The sequence below is a fragment of the Homo sapiens genome, chromosome 9 (assembly GCF_000001405.40).
Source record: "Homo sapiens chromosome 9, GRCh38.p14 Primary Assembly".
Lineage (NCBI taxonomy): Eukaryota > Metazoa > Chordata > Mammalia > Primates > Hominidae > Homo > Homo sapiens.
The window spans coordinates 86,369,628-86,384,571 of record NC_000009.12 but is presented as its reverse complement, the minus strand read 5'-3'; the positions used below and the strand labels follow the sequence as shown (position 1 = coordinate 86,384,571).

General features: G+C 40.3%; 1 pseudogene; it reads left to right on the top strand.

The window, feature by feature from the left end:
* RPS6P13 (ribosomal protein S6 pseudogene 13) lies at positions 8,825–9,834 on the top strand (annotated as a pseudogene).
* Positions 9,835–14,944: the final 5,110 nt, after the last annotated feature.

Here is a 14,944-nt window from a genome sequence, read left to right as displayed (position 1 = left end):
AGAAGAAAAAAGGTGAGAGAAACATACTTAATGAAATAATATCAGAAAACTTCCCAAGTCTTGAGAATGAGATAGACATCCAGGTTCAAGAAGCTCAAACAACCCCAAATATATTTAATCCAGACAGGTTCTCTCTGATGCACATTATACTCAAATTGTCAAAAGTCAAAAACAAAAAAAAAGAATTTTAAAAGCAACAAGACAAAAGCATCAAGTCAACTATAAGGGAATCTCCACTAGACTAACAGTGAATTTGTTTGCAGAAACCTTTCAGGCCAGGAGAGAACAGGATGATATATTCAAAGTCCTGAAAGATAAACTATTGGCCAAGAATATTGTACACAGCAAAGCTTTCCTTCAAAAATGATGGAGAAATAAAATCTTTCACAGACAATCAAAATCTAAGGGAATTCATCACCACTAGACCAAACTTACAAGGAATGCTCAAGAGACTCTTACATCTGGAAGTGAAAAGAAGATAACCACCATCATAAAAACATACAAAACTATAAAATTCACTGGTAAAGCCAATAAGCAAAGGAAAAACAGAAAGGAATCAAACCTTATCAGTACAGAAAGGCACCCAACCATAAAAATAAACCACATGAGAGGTAGTTAAGAAACAAAGGATTTACAAAACAACCAGGAAACGATCAATACAAGGGCAGGATTAAGTCTTTACCTATCAACAATAAGCTTGAATATGATGAATTAAATTCTCCATTTAAAAGATATAGACTGGCTGAATGTATTTTTTTAAACCCAATACCCAACTCTATGCAGCTACAGGAAACTTACTTCACTTATAAAGACACACATAGAATAAAAGTGAAGGGATGAAAAAAGATATTCCTTGCAAATGAAAATAAAAGTGAGCAAGAGTAGCTACATTTATATCAGACAAAATAGACTTAAAGTTAAAAGTTGTAAGAAGAAACAAAGAGTGGGGAGGAGCCAAGATGGCCGAATAGGAACAGCTCCGGTCTACAGCTCCCAGCGTGAGTGACACAGAAGACGGGTGATTTCTGCATTTCCAACTGAGGTACCAGGTTCATCTCACTGGGGAGTGCCAAACAGTAGGTGCAGGACAGTGGGAGCGGTGCACTGTGCACAAGCCAAAGCAGGGCGAGGCATCACCTCACCAGGGAAGTGCAAGGGGTCAGGGAATTCCCTTTCCTAGTCAAAGAAAGGGGTGACAGACAGCACCTGGAAAATCGGGTCACTCCCAACCTAATACTGCGTTTTTCCAACGGGCTTAAAAAACGGCACACCAGGAGATTATATCCCTCACATGGCTTGGAGGGTCGTATGCCCACGGAGTCTCACTCATTGCTAGCACAGCAGTCTGAGATCAAACTGCAAGGCAGCAGCGAGGCTGGGGGAGGGGTGCCCGCCATTGCCGAGTTAGTTGTTTGATTAGGTAAACAAAGAAGCTGGGAAGCTCGAACTGGGTGGAGCCCACCACAGCTCAAGGAGGCCTGCCTGCCTCTGTAGGCTCCACCTCTGGGGGCAGGGCACAGACGAACAAAAAGACAGCAGTAACCTCTGCAGACTTAAATGTCCCTCTCTGACAGCTTTGAAGAGAGTAGTGGTTCTCCCAGCATGCAGCTTGAGATCTGAGAGCGGGCAGACTGCCTCCACAAGTGGGTCCCTGACCCCTGGGTAGCCTAACTGGGAGGCACCCCACAGTAGGGGCGGACTGACACTTCACACGGCTGGGTACTCCTCTGAGACAAAACTTCCAGAGGAACGATCAGGCAGCAGCATTTGCGGTTCACCAATATCTGCTGTTCTGCAGCCACCACTGCTGATACCCAGGCAAACAGGGTCTGGAGTGGACCTCTAGCAAACTCCAACAGACCTGCAGCTGAGGGTCTTGTCTGTTAGAAGGAAAACTAACAAACAGAAAGGACATCCACACCAAAAACCCAACTGTACATCACCATCATCAAAGACCAAAGGTAGATAAAACCACAAAGATGGGAAAAAAACAGAGCAGAAAAACTGGAAACTCTAAAAATCAGAGTGCCTCTCCTCCTCCAAAGGAACACAGCTCCTCACCAGCAATGGAACAAAGCTGGATGGAGAATGACTTTGATGAGTTGAGAGAAGAAGGCTTCAGATGATCAAATTAATCCGAGCTACAGGAGGAAATTCAAACCAATGGCAAAGAAGTTAAAAGCTTTGAAAAAAAATTAGACAAATGGATAACTAGAATAACCAATGCAGAGAAGTCCTTAAAGAACCTGATGGAGCTGAAAACCAAGGCACGAGAGCTACATGACGAAAGCAGCAGCCTCAGTAGCCAATGCAATCAACTGGAAGAAAGGGTATCAGTGAAGGAAGACGAAATGAATGAAATGAAGCGAGAAGAGAAGTTTAGAGAAAAAAGAGTAAAAAGAAATGAACAAAGCCTCCAAGAAATATGGGACTATGTGAAAAGACCAAATCTACGTCTGATTGGTGTACCCGAAAGTGACGAGGAGAATGGAACCAAGTTGGAAAACACTCTGCAGGATATTATCCAGGAGAACTTCCCCAATCTAGCAAGGCAGGCCAACATTCAAATTCAGGAAATATAGAGAATGCCACAAAGATACTCCTCGAGAAGAGCAACTCCAAGACACATAATTGTCAGACTTACCAAAGTTGAAATGAAGGAAAAAATGTTAAGGGCAGCCAGAGAGAAAGGTTGGGTTACCCACAAAGGGAAGCCCATCAGACTAACAGCTGATCTCTCAGCAGAAACTCTACAAGCCAGAAGAGAGTGGGGACCAATATTCAACATTTGTAAAGAAAGAATTTTCAACCCAGAATTTCATATTCAGCCAAACTAATCTTCATAAGTGAAGGAGAAATAAAATCCTTTACAGACAAGCAAATGCTGAGAGATTTTGTCACCACCAGGCCTGCCGTAAAAGAGCTCCCAAAGGAAGCACTAAACATGGAAAGGAACAACCGTTACCAGCCACTGCAAAAACATGCCAAATTGTAAACATCATCGAGGCTAGGAAGAAAATGCATCAACTAATGAGCAAAATAACCAGCTAATATCATAATCACAGGATCAAATTCACACATAACAATATTAACTTTAAATGTAAATGGGCTAAATGCTCCAATTAAAAGACGCAGACTGGCAAATTGGATAAAGAGTCAAGACCCATCAGTGTGCTGTATTCAGGAAACCCATCTCACATGCAGAGACACATATAGGCTCAAAATAAAGGGATGGAGGAAGATCTACCAAGCAAATGGAAAACAAAAAAAGGCAGGGGTTGCAATCCTAGTCTCTGATAAAACAGACTTTAAACCAACAAAGATCAAAAGAGACAAAGAAGGCCATTACATAATGGTAAAGGGATCAATTCAACAAGAATTGATCCCTAACTATCCTAAATATATATGCACCCAATGCAGGAGCACCCAGATTCATAAAGCAACTCCCTAGTGACCTACGAAGAGACTTAGACTCCCATACAATAATAATGGGAGACTTTAACACCAAACTGTCAACATTAGACAGATCAACGAGACAGAAAGTTAACAAGGATACCCAGGAGTTGAACTCAGCTCTGCACCAAGTAGACCTAATAGACATCTACAGAACTCTCCACCCCAAATCAACAGAATATACATTCTTTTCAGCACCACACCACGCCTACTCCAAAACTGACCACATAGTTGGAAGTAAAGACTCCTCAGCAAATGTAAAAGAACAGAAATTATAACAAACTGTCTCTCAGACCACAGTGCAATCAAACTAGAACTCAGGATTAAGAAACTCACTCAAAACCACTCAACTACATGGAAACTGAACAACCTGTTCCTGAATGATTGCTAGGTAAATAATGGAATGAAAGCAGAAATAAAGATGTTCTTTGAAACTAACGAGAACAAAGACACAACATACCAGAATCTCTGGGACGCATTCAAAGCAGTGTGTAGAGGGAAATTTATAGCACTAAATGCCCACAAGAGAAAGCAGGAAAGATCTAAAATTGACAACCTAACATCACAATTAAAAGAACTAGAGAAGCAAGAGCAAACCCATTCAAAAGCTAGCAGAAGGCAAGAAATAACTAAGATCAGAGCAGAACTGAAGGAAATAGAGACAAAAAAACCCTTCAAAAAAATTAATGAATCGAGGAGCTGGTTTTTTGAAAACATCAACAAAATTGATAGACTGCTAGCAATACTAATAAAGAAGAAAAGAGAGAAGAATCAAATAGATGCAATAAAAAATGACAAAGGGGATATCACCACTGATCCCACAGAAATACAAACTACCATCAGAGAATACTATAAACACCTCTACATAAATAAACTAGAAAATCTAGAAGAAATGGATAGATTCCTTGACACATACATCCTCCCAAGACTAAAACAGGAAGAAGCTGAATCTCTGAATAGACCAATAACAGGCTCTGAAATTGAGGCAATAATCAATAGCTGACCAACGAAAACAAGCCCAGGACCAGATGGATTCACAGCTGAATTCTACCAGAGGTAAAAAGAGGAGCTGGTACCATTCCTTCTGAAACTATTCCAATGAATAGAAGAAGAGGGAATCCTCCCCAACTTGTTTTATGAGGCCAGCATCATCCTGATACCAAAGCCTGGCAGAGACACAACAAAAAAAGAGAATTTTAGACCAATATCCTAGATGAACATGGATGCAAAAATCCTCAATAAAATACTGGCAAACCGAATCCAGCAGCACATCAAGAAGCTTATCCACCATGATCAAGTGGGCTTCATCCCTGGGATGCAAGGCTGGTTCAATATACACAAATCAATAAATGTAATCTAGTATATAAACAGAACCAAAGACAAAAACCACATGATTATCTCAATAGATGCAGAAAAAGCCTTTGACACAATTCAACGACCCTTCATGCTAAAAACTCTCAATAAATTAGGTATTGATGGGGCATATCTCAAAATAATAAGAGCTATCTATGACAAACCCACAGCCAATATCATACTGAATGGGCAAAAACTGGAAGCATTCCCTTTGAAAACGGGCACAAGACAGGGATGCCCTCTCTCACCACTCCTATTCAACATAGTGTTGGAAGTTCTGGCCAGGGCAGTTAGGCAGGAGAAGGAAATAAAGGGTATTCAATTAGGAAAAGAGGAAGTCAAATTGTCCCTTTTTGCAGATGACATGATTGTATATCTAGAAAACCTCATCGTCTCAGCCCAAAATCTCCTCAAGCTGATAAACAACTTCAGCAAAGTCTCAGTATACAAAATCAATGTACAAAAATCACAAGCATTCTTATGCACCAATAACAGACAAACAGAGAGCCCAATCATGAGTGAACTCCCATTCACAATTGCTTCAAAGAGAATAAAATACCTGGGGATTCAACTTACATGAGATATGAAGGACCTCTTCAAGGAGAACTACAAACCACTGCTCAATGAAATAAAAGAGGATACAAACAAATGGAAGAACATTCCATGCTCATGGGTAGGAAGAATCAATATCGTGAAAATGGCCATACTGCCCAAGGTAATTTATAGATTCAATGCCATCCCCATCAAGCTACCAATGACTTTCTTCACAGAATTGGAAAAAACTACTTTAAAGTTCATATGGAACCAAAAAAGAGCCCGCATCGCCAAGTCAATCCTAAGCCAAAAGAACAAAGCTGGAGGCATCACGCTACCTGACTTCAAACTATACTACAAGGCTACAGTAACCAAAACAGCATGGTACTGGTACCAAAACAGAGATATGGATCAATGGAACAGAACAGAGCCCTCAGAAATAATGCTGCATATCTACAACTATCTGATCTTTGACAAACCTGACAAAAACAAGCAATGGGGAAAGGATTCCCTATTTAATAAACGGTGCTGGGAAAACTGGCTAGCCATATGTAGAAAGCTGAAACTGGATCCCTTCCTTACACCTCATACAAAAATTAATTCAAGATGGATTAAAGACTTAAATGTTAGACCTAAAACCATAAAAACCCTAGAAGAAAATCTAGGCAATACCATTCAGGACATAGGCATGGGCAAGGACTTCATGTCTAAAACACCAAAAGCAATGGCAACAGAAGCCAAAATTGACAAATGGGATCTAATTAAACTAAAGAGCTTCTGCACAGCAAAAGAAACTACCATCAGAGTGAACAGGCAACCTACAGAATGGGAGAAAATTTTCACAACCTACTCATCTGACAAAGGGCTAATATCCAGAATCTACAATGAACTCAAACAAATTTACAAGAAAAAAACAAACAACCCCATCAAAAAGTGGGCAAAGGATATGAACAGACACTTCTCCAAAGAAGACATTTATGCAGCCGAAAAACACATGAAAAAAATGCTCATCATCACTGGCCATCAGAGAAATGCAAACCAAAACCACAATGAGACACCATCTCACACCAGTTAGAATGGTGATCATTAAAAAGTCAGGAAACAACAGGTGCTGGAGAGGATGTGGAGAAATAGGAATACTTTTACACTGTTGGTGGGACTGTAAACTAGTTCAACCATTGTGGAAGTCAGTGTGGCGATTCCTCAGGGATCTAGAACTAGAAATACCATTTGACCCAGCCATCCCATTACTGGGTATATACCCAAAGGATTATAAATCATGCTGCTATAAAGACACATGCACACATACGTTTATAGCAGCACTATTCACAATAGCAAAGACTTGGAACCAACCTAAATGTCCAACAATGATAGACTGGAGTAAGAAAATGTGGCACATACACACCATGGAATACTATGCAGCCATAAAAAATGATGAGTTCATGTCCTTTGTAGGGACATGGATGAAACTGGAAACCATCATTCTCAGCAAACTATCGCAAGGACAGAAAACCAAACACCGCATGTTCTCACTTATAGGTGGAAATTGAACAATGAGGACACATGGACACAGGAAAGAGAACATCACACACCGGGGCCCGTTGTGGGGTGGGGGGAGGGGGGAGGGATAGCATTAGGAGATATACCTAATACTAAATGATGAGTTAATGGGTGCAGCACACCAACATAGCACATGTATACATATGTAACAAAACTGCACGTTGTGCACATGTACCCTAAAACTTAAAGTAAAATAATAATAAAATTAAAAAAAGAAGAAACAAAGATGACCATTATATAATAACAGAAACATCACTTCAGCACAATAATATGACAATTTTAAATATACATACACCCAACACTGGAGCACTTAGATATATAAGAGAAATATTATTAGATTTAAAGAGAGAGATAGACTGTAATTCAATAATAGTTGAGGACCTCAATGCCCCATACTTACCATTGGAAAGATCATCTAGACAGAAAATCAACAAAGAAACATCAGATTTAAACAGCGCCACAGACCAAATGCACCTGAGAGACATTTACAGTACATTTTACTCATCAGCTGCAGAATACACATTCTTATTAGCACATGGAACATTCTCCAGGATTAACCACATGTTAGGACATAAAACAAACAAAAGAGTCTTTAAAAAAATTGTAATCAAAATCATATCAAGGCCGGGCCAGGTGTGGTGGCTCACACCTGTAATCCCAGCACTTTGAAATGCCAAGGCAGGTGGATCACTTGAGGTCAGGAGTTCAAGACCAGCCTGGCCAACATGGGGAAATCCTGTCTCTACTAGAAATTCAAAAATTAGCTGGGCATGATGGCAGGCACCTGTAATCCCAGCTTTTATTGAGGCTGATGCAGGAGAATCTCTAGAACTCGGGAAGTTGGAGGTTGTGGTGAGCCAAGATCGGGCCACTGCACTTTAGCCTGGGTGACAGAGTGAGACTCTGTCTCGAAACAACAATTAAAAAATCATATCAAAGCTGGGTGCAGTGGCTCACACCTATAATCCCAGCACTTTGGGAGGCCCAGGTGGGCAGATCACCTGAGGTCAGGAGTTCGAGACCAGCCTGGCCAACATGGTGAAACCCAGTCTCTACTAAAAAATGCAAAAATTAGCTGGGTGTGGTGGCATACACCTGTAATCCCAGCTACCTAGGAGGCTGAGGCAGGATAATTGCTTGAACCCAGGAGGCACAGGTTTCGGTGAGCCAAAATCATGCCACTGCACTGCAGCCTGGGTGCAGAGACCAGCTTTGTTTCAGAGACCCTAACCCAGTGGCACTGGAGAAATTAGACACACACACAGAAATATAGAGTGTGGAGTGAGGAATCGGGGCTGACAGCCTTCAGAGCTGAAAGCCACGAACAGAGTTTTACCCACATATTTATTGACAGCAAGCCAGTGATAAGCATGGTTTCTATAGATTATAGATTAACTAAAATGGGAAACAAAGGGATGGGCCAAAACAAAGGGATGAGCTTTGGCTAGTTATCTGCAGCAGGAACATGTCCTTCAGGCAGAGATCGCTCATGCTGTTGTTTGTGGCTTAGGAACACCTTAAGCGGTTTTCCACCCTGGTTGGGCCAGGGGTTCCTTGCCCTCATTTCAGTAAACCCACAACCTTCAGTGTGGGTGTCATGGCCATCACGAACATGTCACAGTGCTGAAGAGATTTTGTTTATGGTCAGTTTTGGGGGCAGTTTATGGCCAGATTTGGGGGCCTGTTCCCAACACTGGGTGACAGAGTAAGACTGTCTCAAAAAAAAAAAAAAATCATATCAGGTATCTTATCTGACCACAGTGTAGTAAAACTAGGCATCAATAACAAGGGGAACATTTAAAATTATACAAATATACGAAAATTAAGCCACATGCTCCCTAATGGCCAATGGGTCAAAGAAGAAATTAAGCAGGAAATCAAAAAAATTCCTTGAAGCAAATAAAACTAGAAACACAACATATCACTCTTTTCCATGGCTCCGCGGAGGCATTCAGCTACTTCAAGATGAAGCTGAGCATCTCCTTCCCAGCCACTGACAGCCGGAAACTCATTGAAGAGGAACTCAAACTTCGTACTTTTTATGAGAAGCCTATGGCCACAGAAGTAGCTGCTGATTCTCTGGGTGAAGAATGGAAGGATTATGTGGCCCAAATCAGTGGTGAGAACTACAAACAAGGTTTCCCCATGAAGAAGGGTGTCATGACCCATGGCCGTGTCCGCCTGCTACTGAGTAAGGTCCTCTTACAGACCAAGGAGAACTGGAGAAAGAAAGAAAGAAAATCAGTTTGTGATTGCATTGTGGATGCCAATCTTAGCATTCTCAACTTGGTTATTGTAAAAAAGGGAGAGAAAGATATTCCTGGACAGACTGATACTACGGTGCCTCATTGCCTGGGGCTCCAAAGAGCTAGCAGAATCCTCAAACTTTTCAATCTCTCTAAAGAAAATGATGTCCACCAGTATGTTGTAAGAAAGCCCTTAAACAAAGAAGGTAAGAAACCTAGGACCAAAGCACCCAAGATTCAGCATCTTGTTACTCCACATGTCCTGCAGCACAATCGGCGGTGTATTGCTCTGAAGAAGCAGCGTACTAAGAAAAATAAGGAAGAGGCTGCAGAATACACTAAACTTTTGGCCAAGAGCATGAAGGAGGCTAAAGAGAAGCCCCAGAAACAAATTGCCAAGAGATGCAGACTTTCCTCTCTGTGAGTTTCTGCTTCCAAGCCTGAATCCAGTCAGAAATAAGATTTTTTGAGTAACAAATAAGATCAGACTCACATCTCTCTTGACTTTTCATTGATGATAGACAACTACATAAATGAAGAGAGGGAAACTTAGGTCATAGAAAATGGGGATATGTATATAGTAATCCAGTCATGGATAAAATCAGACTGACTATTGTGTGGTAGAAGAAGACAAGATCATAATAAAGGGATTCTTTTGGGTGGATGGGTGGTGCAGGAAGGGATTCTGAGCATAAGACATCTGCCTCTTCAGAAAGGCATGGAACTTAGGGGAAATAAATGAAGAGGACTTTTAATCTTTTTTATATAGTTTATTTTGAGGAATATAGCTCTTTAAAACACTATACACAGTTTAATACATGAAAATTGCCCTTGGGAAGATTAACAGTGTTTTTTTAGAAAAGCTAACTTTTAAGGCATAGTTTCAGTGGATAGCATCTTAAAATACTTCAGGAAGTTTTGTAAACCAGTGCAAATTTGCTTTAACAAAGCTTTTCAACTCAAAAACAAAAGAAAGAAAGAAAGAGAGAAAGAGAAAGAAAGAAAGGCAATGTATCAAAATTTGGCTGCATGCAGTGACTCATGCCTGTAATCCCAGCACTTTGGGAGGCTGAGGCAGGTGGATCACGAGGTTAGGAGTTCAAGACCAGCCTGGCCAACATGGTGAAACCCCCATCTCTACCAAAAATACAAAAAAAAAAAATTAGCCAGGTGTGGTGGCAGACACCTGTAATCCCAGCTACTTGGGAGGCTAAGGCAGGAGAATTGCTTGAACCTGGGAGGTGGAGGTTGCAGTAAGCCAAGATCATGCCACTGCACTCTAGCCTGGGTGACAGAGCAAGACTCCATCTCAAAACAAACAAAACAAAACAAAACAAAAAACAAAAAAAAATCTTATGGGACACAACAAAAGCAGTATTAAGAGGCAAGTTTATAGCAATAATGCCTACATCTAAAAACTAGAAAGATTTCTAAGATTTCTAATAACGTAATGGCACCTCAAGGAACTAGAAAAGCAAGAACTCAAAATTAGTAGAAGGAAAGAAATAACCAAACCCAAAATTAGTAGAAGGAAAGAAATAATAAGAACAGAGCAGAAATAAACAAAATGGAGACTTAAAAAAAAACACAAAAGATAAATGAAACAAAAATTTGGTTTTTGAAAAGATAAACAAAATAAAAAAACCATTAGCTAGACTAAGAAAAAAAGAGAGAAGATCCAAATAAATAAAATCAAAAGCCAGAAATGAAGATATCACAATGGATACCATAGAAATATAAAGACTCATTAGTGACAACTATGCACAATGATGTGCCAATAAATGAGAAAGCCTGGAGGAAATGGATAAATTCCTGGACACATGCAACCTACTGAGAAGAAATAGAAAACCTGAACAAATCAATAACAAGTGATGAGATTGAATCACTAATAAAAAGTGCTTCAACAAAGAAAAGTCCAGGACCAGATGGCTTCACTGCTGAGTTCTACCAAACCTTTAAAGAATTTTTTTTTTGAAACAGAGTCTTGCTCTGTTGCCCAGGCCTGAGTGCAATGGTGTGATCCCAGCTCACTACAATCTGCCTCTCAGATTCAAGTGATTCTCCTGTCTCAGCTTCCCGAGTAGCTGGGACTACAGACGCATGCCACCACACCCAGCTTATTTTTGTATTTTTGGTAGAGATGGGGTTTTGCCATGTTGGCCAGCCTGGTCTCGAATTCCTGACCTCAGGTGATCCACCCTCCTCAGCTTCCCAAAGTGCTAGGATTACAGGTGTGAGCCACTGCACCCGGCCAAATCTTTAAATGATTAATACCAATTTTTCTCATACTTCAAAATGTTGAAGCAGAGAGAATTCTTCTTAACTCATTCTATGAGGCCAGCATGACTCCAGTTCCAGAATCAACACAATAAACAAAGAAAACTACAGGCCAGTGTCTCTGATGAACACAGACGCAAACATCTTCAACAAAATACTAGCAAACAAAATCCAATAACATATCAAAAAGATAATAAGCAGTGATCACACGGAATGTATTCCAGGAAAGTAAAAATGGTTCAACATATGCATATTAATAAATGTTATATATTGCATCAATAGAATTAAGGACAAAAAGCTTATTATCATCTCAATAGATGCAGAACAAGCTTCTGATAAAACACAACATCCCTTCAAGATGAAAACCCTTAATAAATTAGGTATAGAAAGAAAGTACCTCAGCATAATGAAGGCTATGTAAGACAACCCTCAGCTAACATCTCACTGAATAGGGAAAAGCTAAAAGATTTTCCTCTAAGAATTGGAACAAGACAAAGTTGCCAGCCGGGCATAGTGGCTCACACCTGTAATCTCAGCACTTTGGGAGGCTGAGGCAGGCAGATCACTTGAGCCCAGGAGTTCAAGACCAGCCTGGCCAACATGGCAAAACCCTGTCTCTACTAAAAATACAAAAAATTAGCCAGGTGTGGTGGCGCATCTGTAGTCCCAGCTCCTTGGGAGGCTGAGGCATAAGAATTGCTTGAACCTGGGAGGCAGAGGTTGCAGTGAGCCAAGATTGGGCCACTGCACTCCAGCCTGGGAGTAGATTGAGACTCTATCTCAAAAAAAAAAAAAAAAGGCAAGGTTGCTCACTTTCATCACTCCTATTCAACATAGTACTGGAACTCCTAGCCAGAGCAATCAGGCAAGAAATAAAGGGCATCCAAATGGGAAAGGAGAAAGTCAAATTGTTCCTGTTTGCAGACAACATGATTTTACATATAGAAAAACCTAAAGATGCTACCAAAAAACTTAGCACTGGTAAACAAATTTAGTACAGTTGTAAGATAAAAAACTAATATACAAAAATCAATGGTGCTCCTATATATGAACAATTAAATAGCTGATAAGGAAATCAAGAAGGCAATCCCATTTATGACAGCTATAAAATGAAATAAAATACCTAAGTATAAATTTAACCAAGGAAGCAAAAGACCTCTATGAGGAATACAAAGCACTGATTAAAGAAATTGAAGAGGATACCAAAAAAATGGAAAGACAGCCAGGTGCAGTGGCTCCCTCCTGTAATCCCAGCACTTTGGTAGGCTGAGGCAGGCAGAACACTTGAATCCAGGAGTTCCAGACCAGTCTGGACAACACAGTAAGAACCCATCTCACAAAAACTACAAAAATTAGCTAGGCACGACAGCACATGTCTGTAGTCCCAGCTACTGGAGAAGCTGAAGTGGGAGGATCTCTTGAGCCCAGGAGGGAGAGATTGCAGTGAGCCAAGATTGCACCACTGCACTCCAGCCTCCAGCCTGGGTGACAGAGTGGGACCCCATCTCAAAAAGAAAAAAAGGAAAGATGTCTCAAGCTCATGGACTGAAATAATTAATATTCTTAAAATGACAATACTCTCCCCTAGTAATCTACAGATTAAGTGCAATTGCTATTAAAATAACAATGACCTTCTTCACAGAAATAGAAAAAAAATCCTAAAATTTGTGTGGAACCACAAAAGACCCCAAGTATCCAAAGCAATCCTGAGCAAAAGAAAAAAGCTGGAGTCATCACACTACCAGAACTCAAAATATACTACAAACCTGGAGTAATCAAAACGCATGATACTGGCATGAAACAGACACATAGACCAATAGAACAAAATAGAGAACCCCAAAAGTAGTCCACATATCTACAGCCAACTGATTTTTAACAGAGGTGCCAAGAACACTCATGGGGGAAGGGACAGTCTCTCTAAAAAATGTGTCTAGATAAACTAGATATGCATATAGAGAAGAATGAAACTAGACCCCCACCTCTCACCCTATACAAAAATCTACTGAACATGGATCAAAGACCCAAATGTCAAACCCAAAACAATAATACTGCTAGAAGAAAACATAGAGAAAATGCTTCAGGACATTGGTCTGGGAGAAGATTTTATGAATCAGACCTCAAAAGTATAGGGAAAAAAAGCAAAAATAAGCAAATAGAATTATATCAAACTAAAAAGCTTCTGCACAGCAAAGGAAACAATCAACAGAGTGAAAAGACAACCTACAGAATGAGAGAAAAGATGTGCACACTACTCATCTGACAGGAGATTAATATGCAGAATATACAAAGAACTGAAACATCACAACAGCAAAATAACAAAGAATCTGATTTTAAAATGGGCAAATAATAGAAATAGAAACTTCTCAGAAGAAGATATACAAATGGTCAAATCCAACAAATATATGAAAAATGCTCAATATCACCAGTCATCAGGGAAATGCAAATCAAAACCACAGTGAGGTATTATCTCACCCCAGTTAGGATGACAATTTCAAAAAGACAAAAAACAACAAATGCTGGTGAGGATGCAGAGAAAAGGGAATTTTTCTTTCTTTCTTTCTTTTTTTTTTTTTTTTTAGAGATGGAGTCTCGCTGTGTTGCCCCGGATGGTCTCGAACTCCTGGGCTCAAGTGATCCTCCTGCCTCAACCTCCCAAAGTGCTGGGATTATAGGCATGAGCCACCGCACTTGGCCAAGAAAAGGGAGCTTGTATACACTGTTGGTGAGAATGCAACCCTTACAGCCACTATGGAGAACAGTATGGAGCTCCCTTTAAAAATGACAAATAGGAATGGGCACAGTGCCTCACACCTGTAATCCCAGAACTTTGAGAAGCCGAGGTGGGTGGATCACCTGAGGTCAGGAGTTTGAGATCAGCCTGGCCAACATGGTGAAACCCCGTTTCTACCAAAAATACAAAAATTAGCTGGGCATAGTGATGTGTGCCTGTAATCCCAGCTACTTGAGAGGCTGAGGCAGGATAATCACTTGAACCCAGGAGGCAGAGGTTGCAGGGAGCTGAGATGGCGCCATTGCACTCCAGCTTGGGTGACAAGAGGGAAATTCCGTCTCAAAAAAAAATAAATAGAACTACTGTATGATCCAGCAATCCTACTACTGGGAAGTTATCCAAGGCAAAGGAAATCATTACATAGAAGAGACATTGGCATCCGCCTATTTATTGCAGCGCTATTCACAATAGGCAAGATAAGGAATCAACCTAGGTGTCCAGTAAAATAAACAGATAAAGTAAATGTGGTTTATATACCTCATGAAATACTACGTTCTGGAGGACATACAGGTTAACCCAACAGGAAAATCTCTGCCCTTGTGGTATTTATATTTTAGTGGAAAATAAAATAAAAGACAAGAAATAAATAACAATAATAAATAGCTACATGATGTAGCAGGTAACAAGGTATATATAGCTCTATAAAACTGTCAACCTGAAATAACCAAAAGAATGAGAATTCAGTTTTAATGAGTTTATTCCAGCAAAAAACTGGGAATAGCCATCCTGG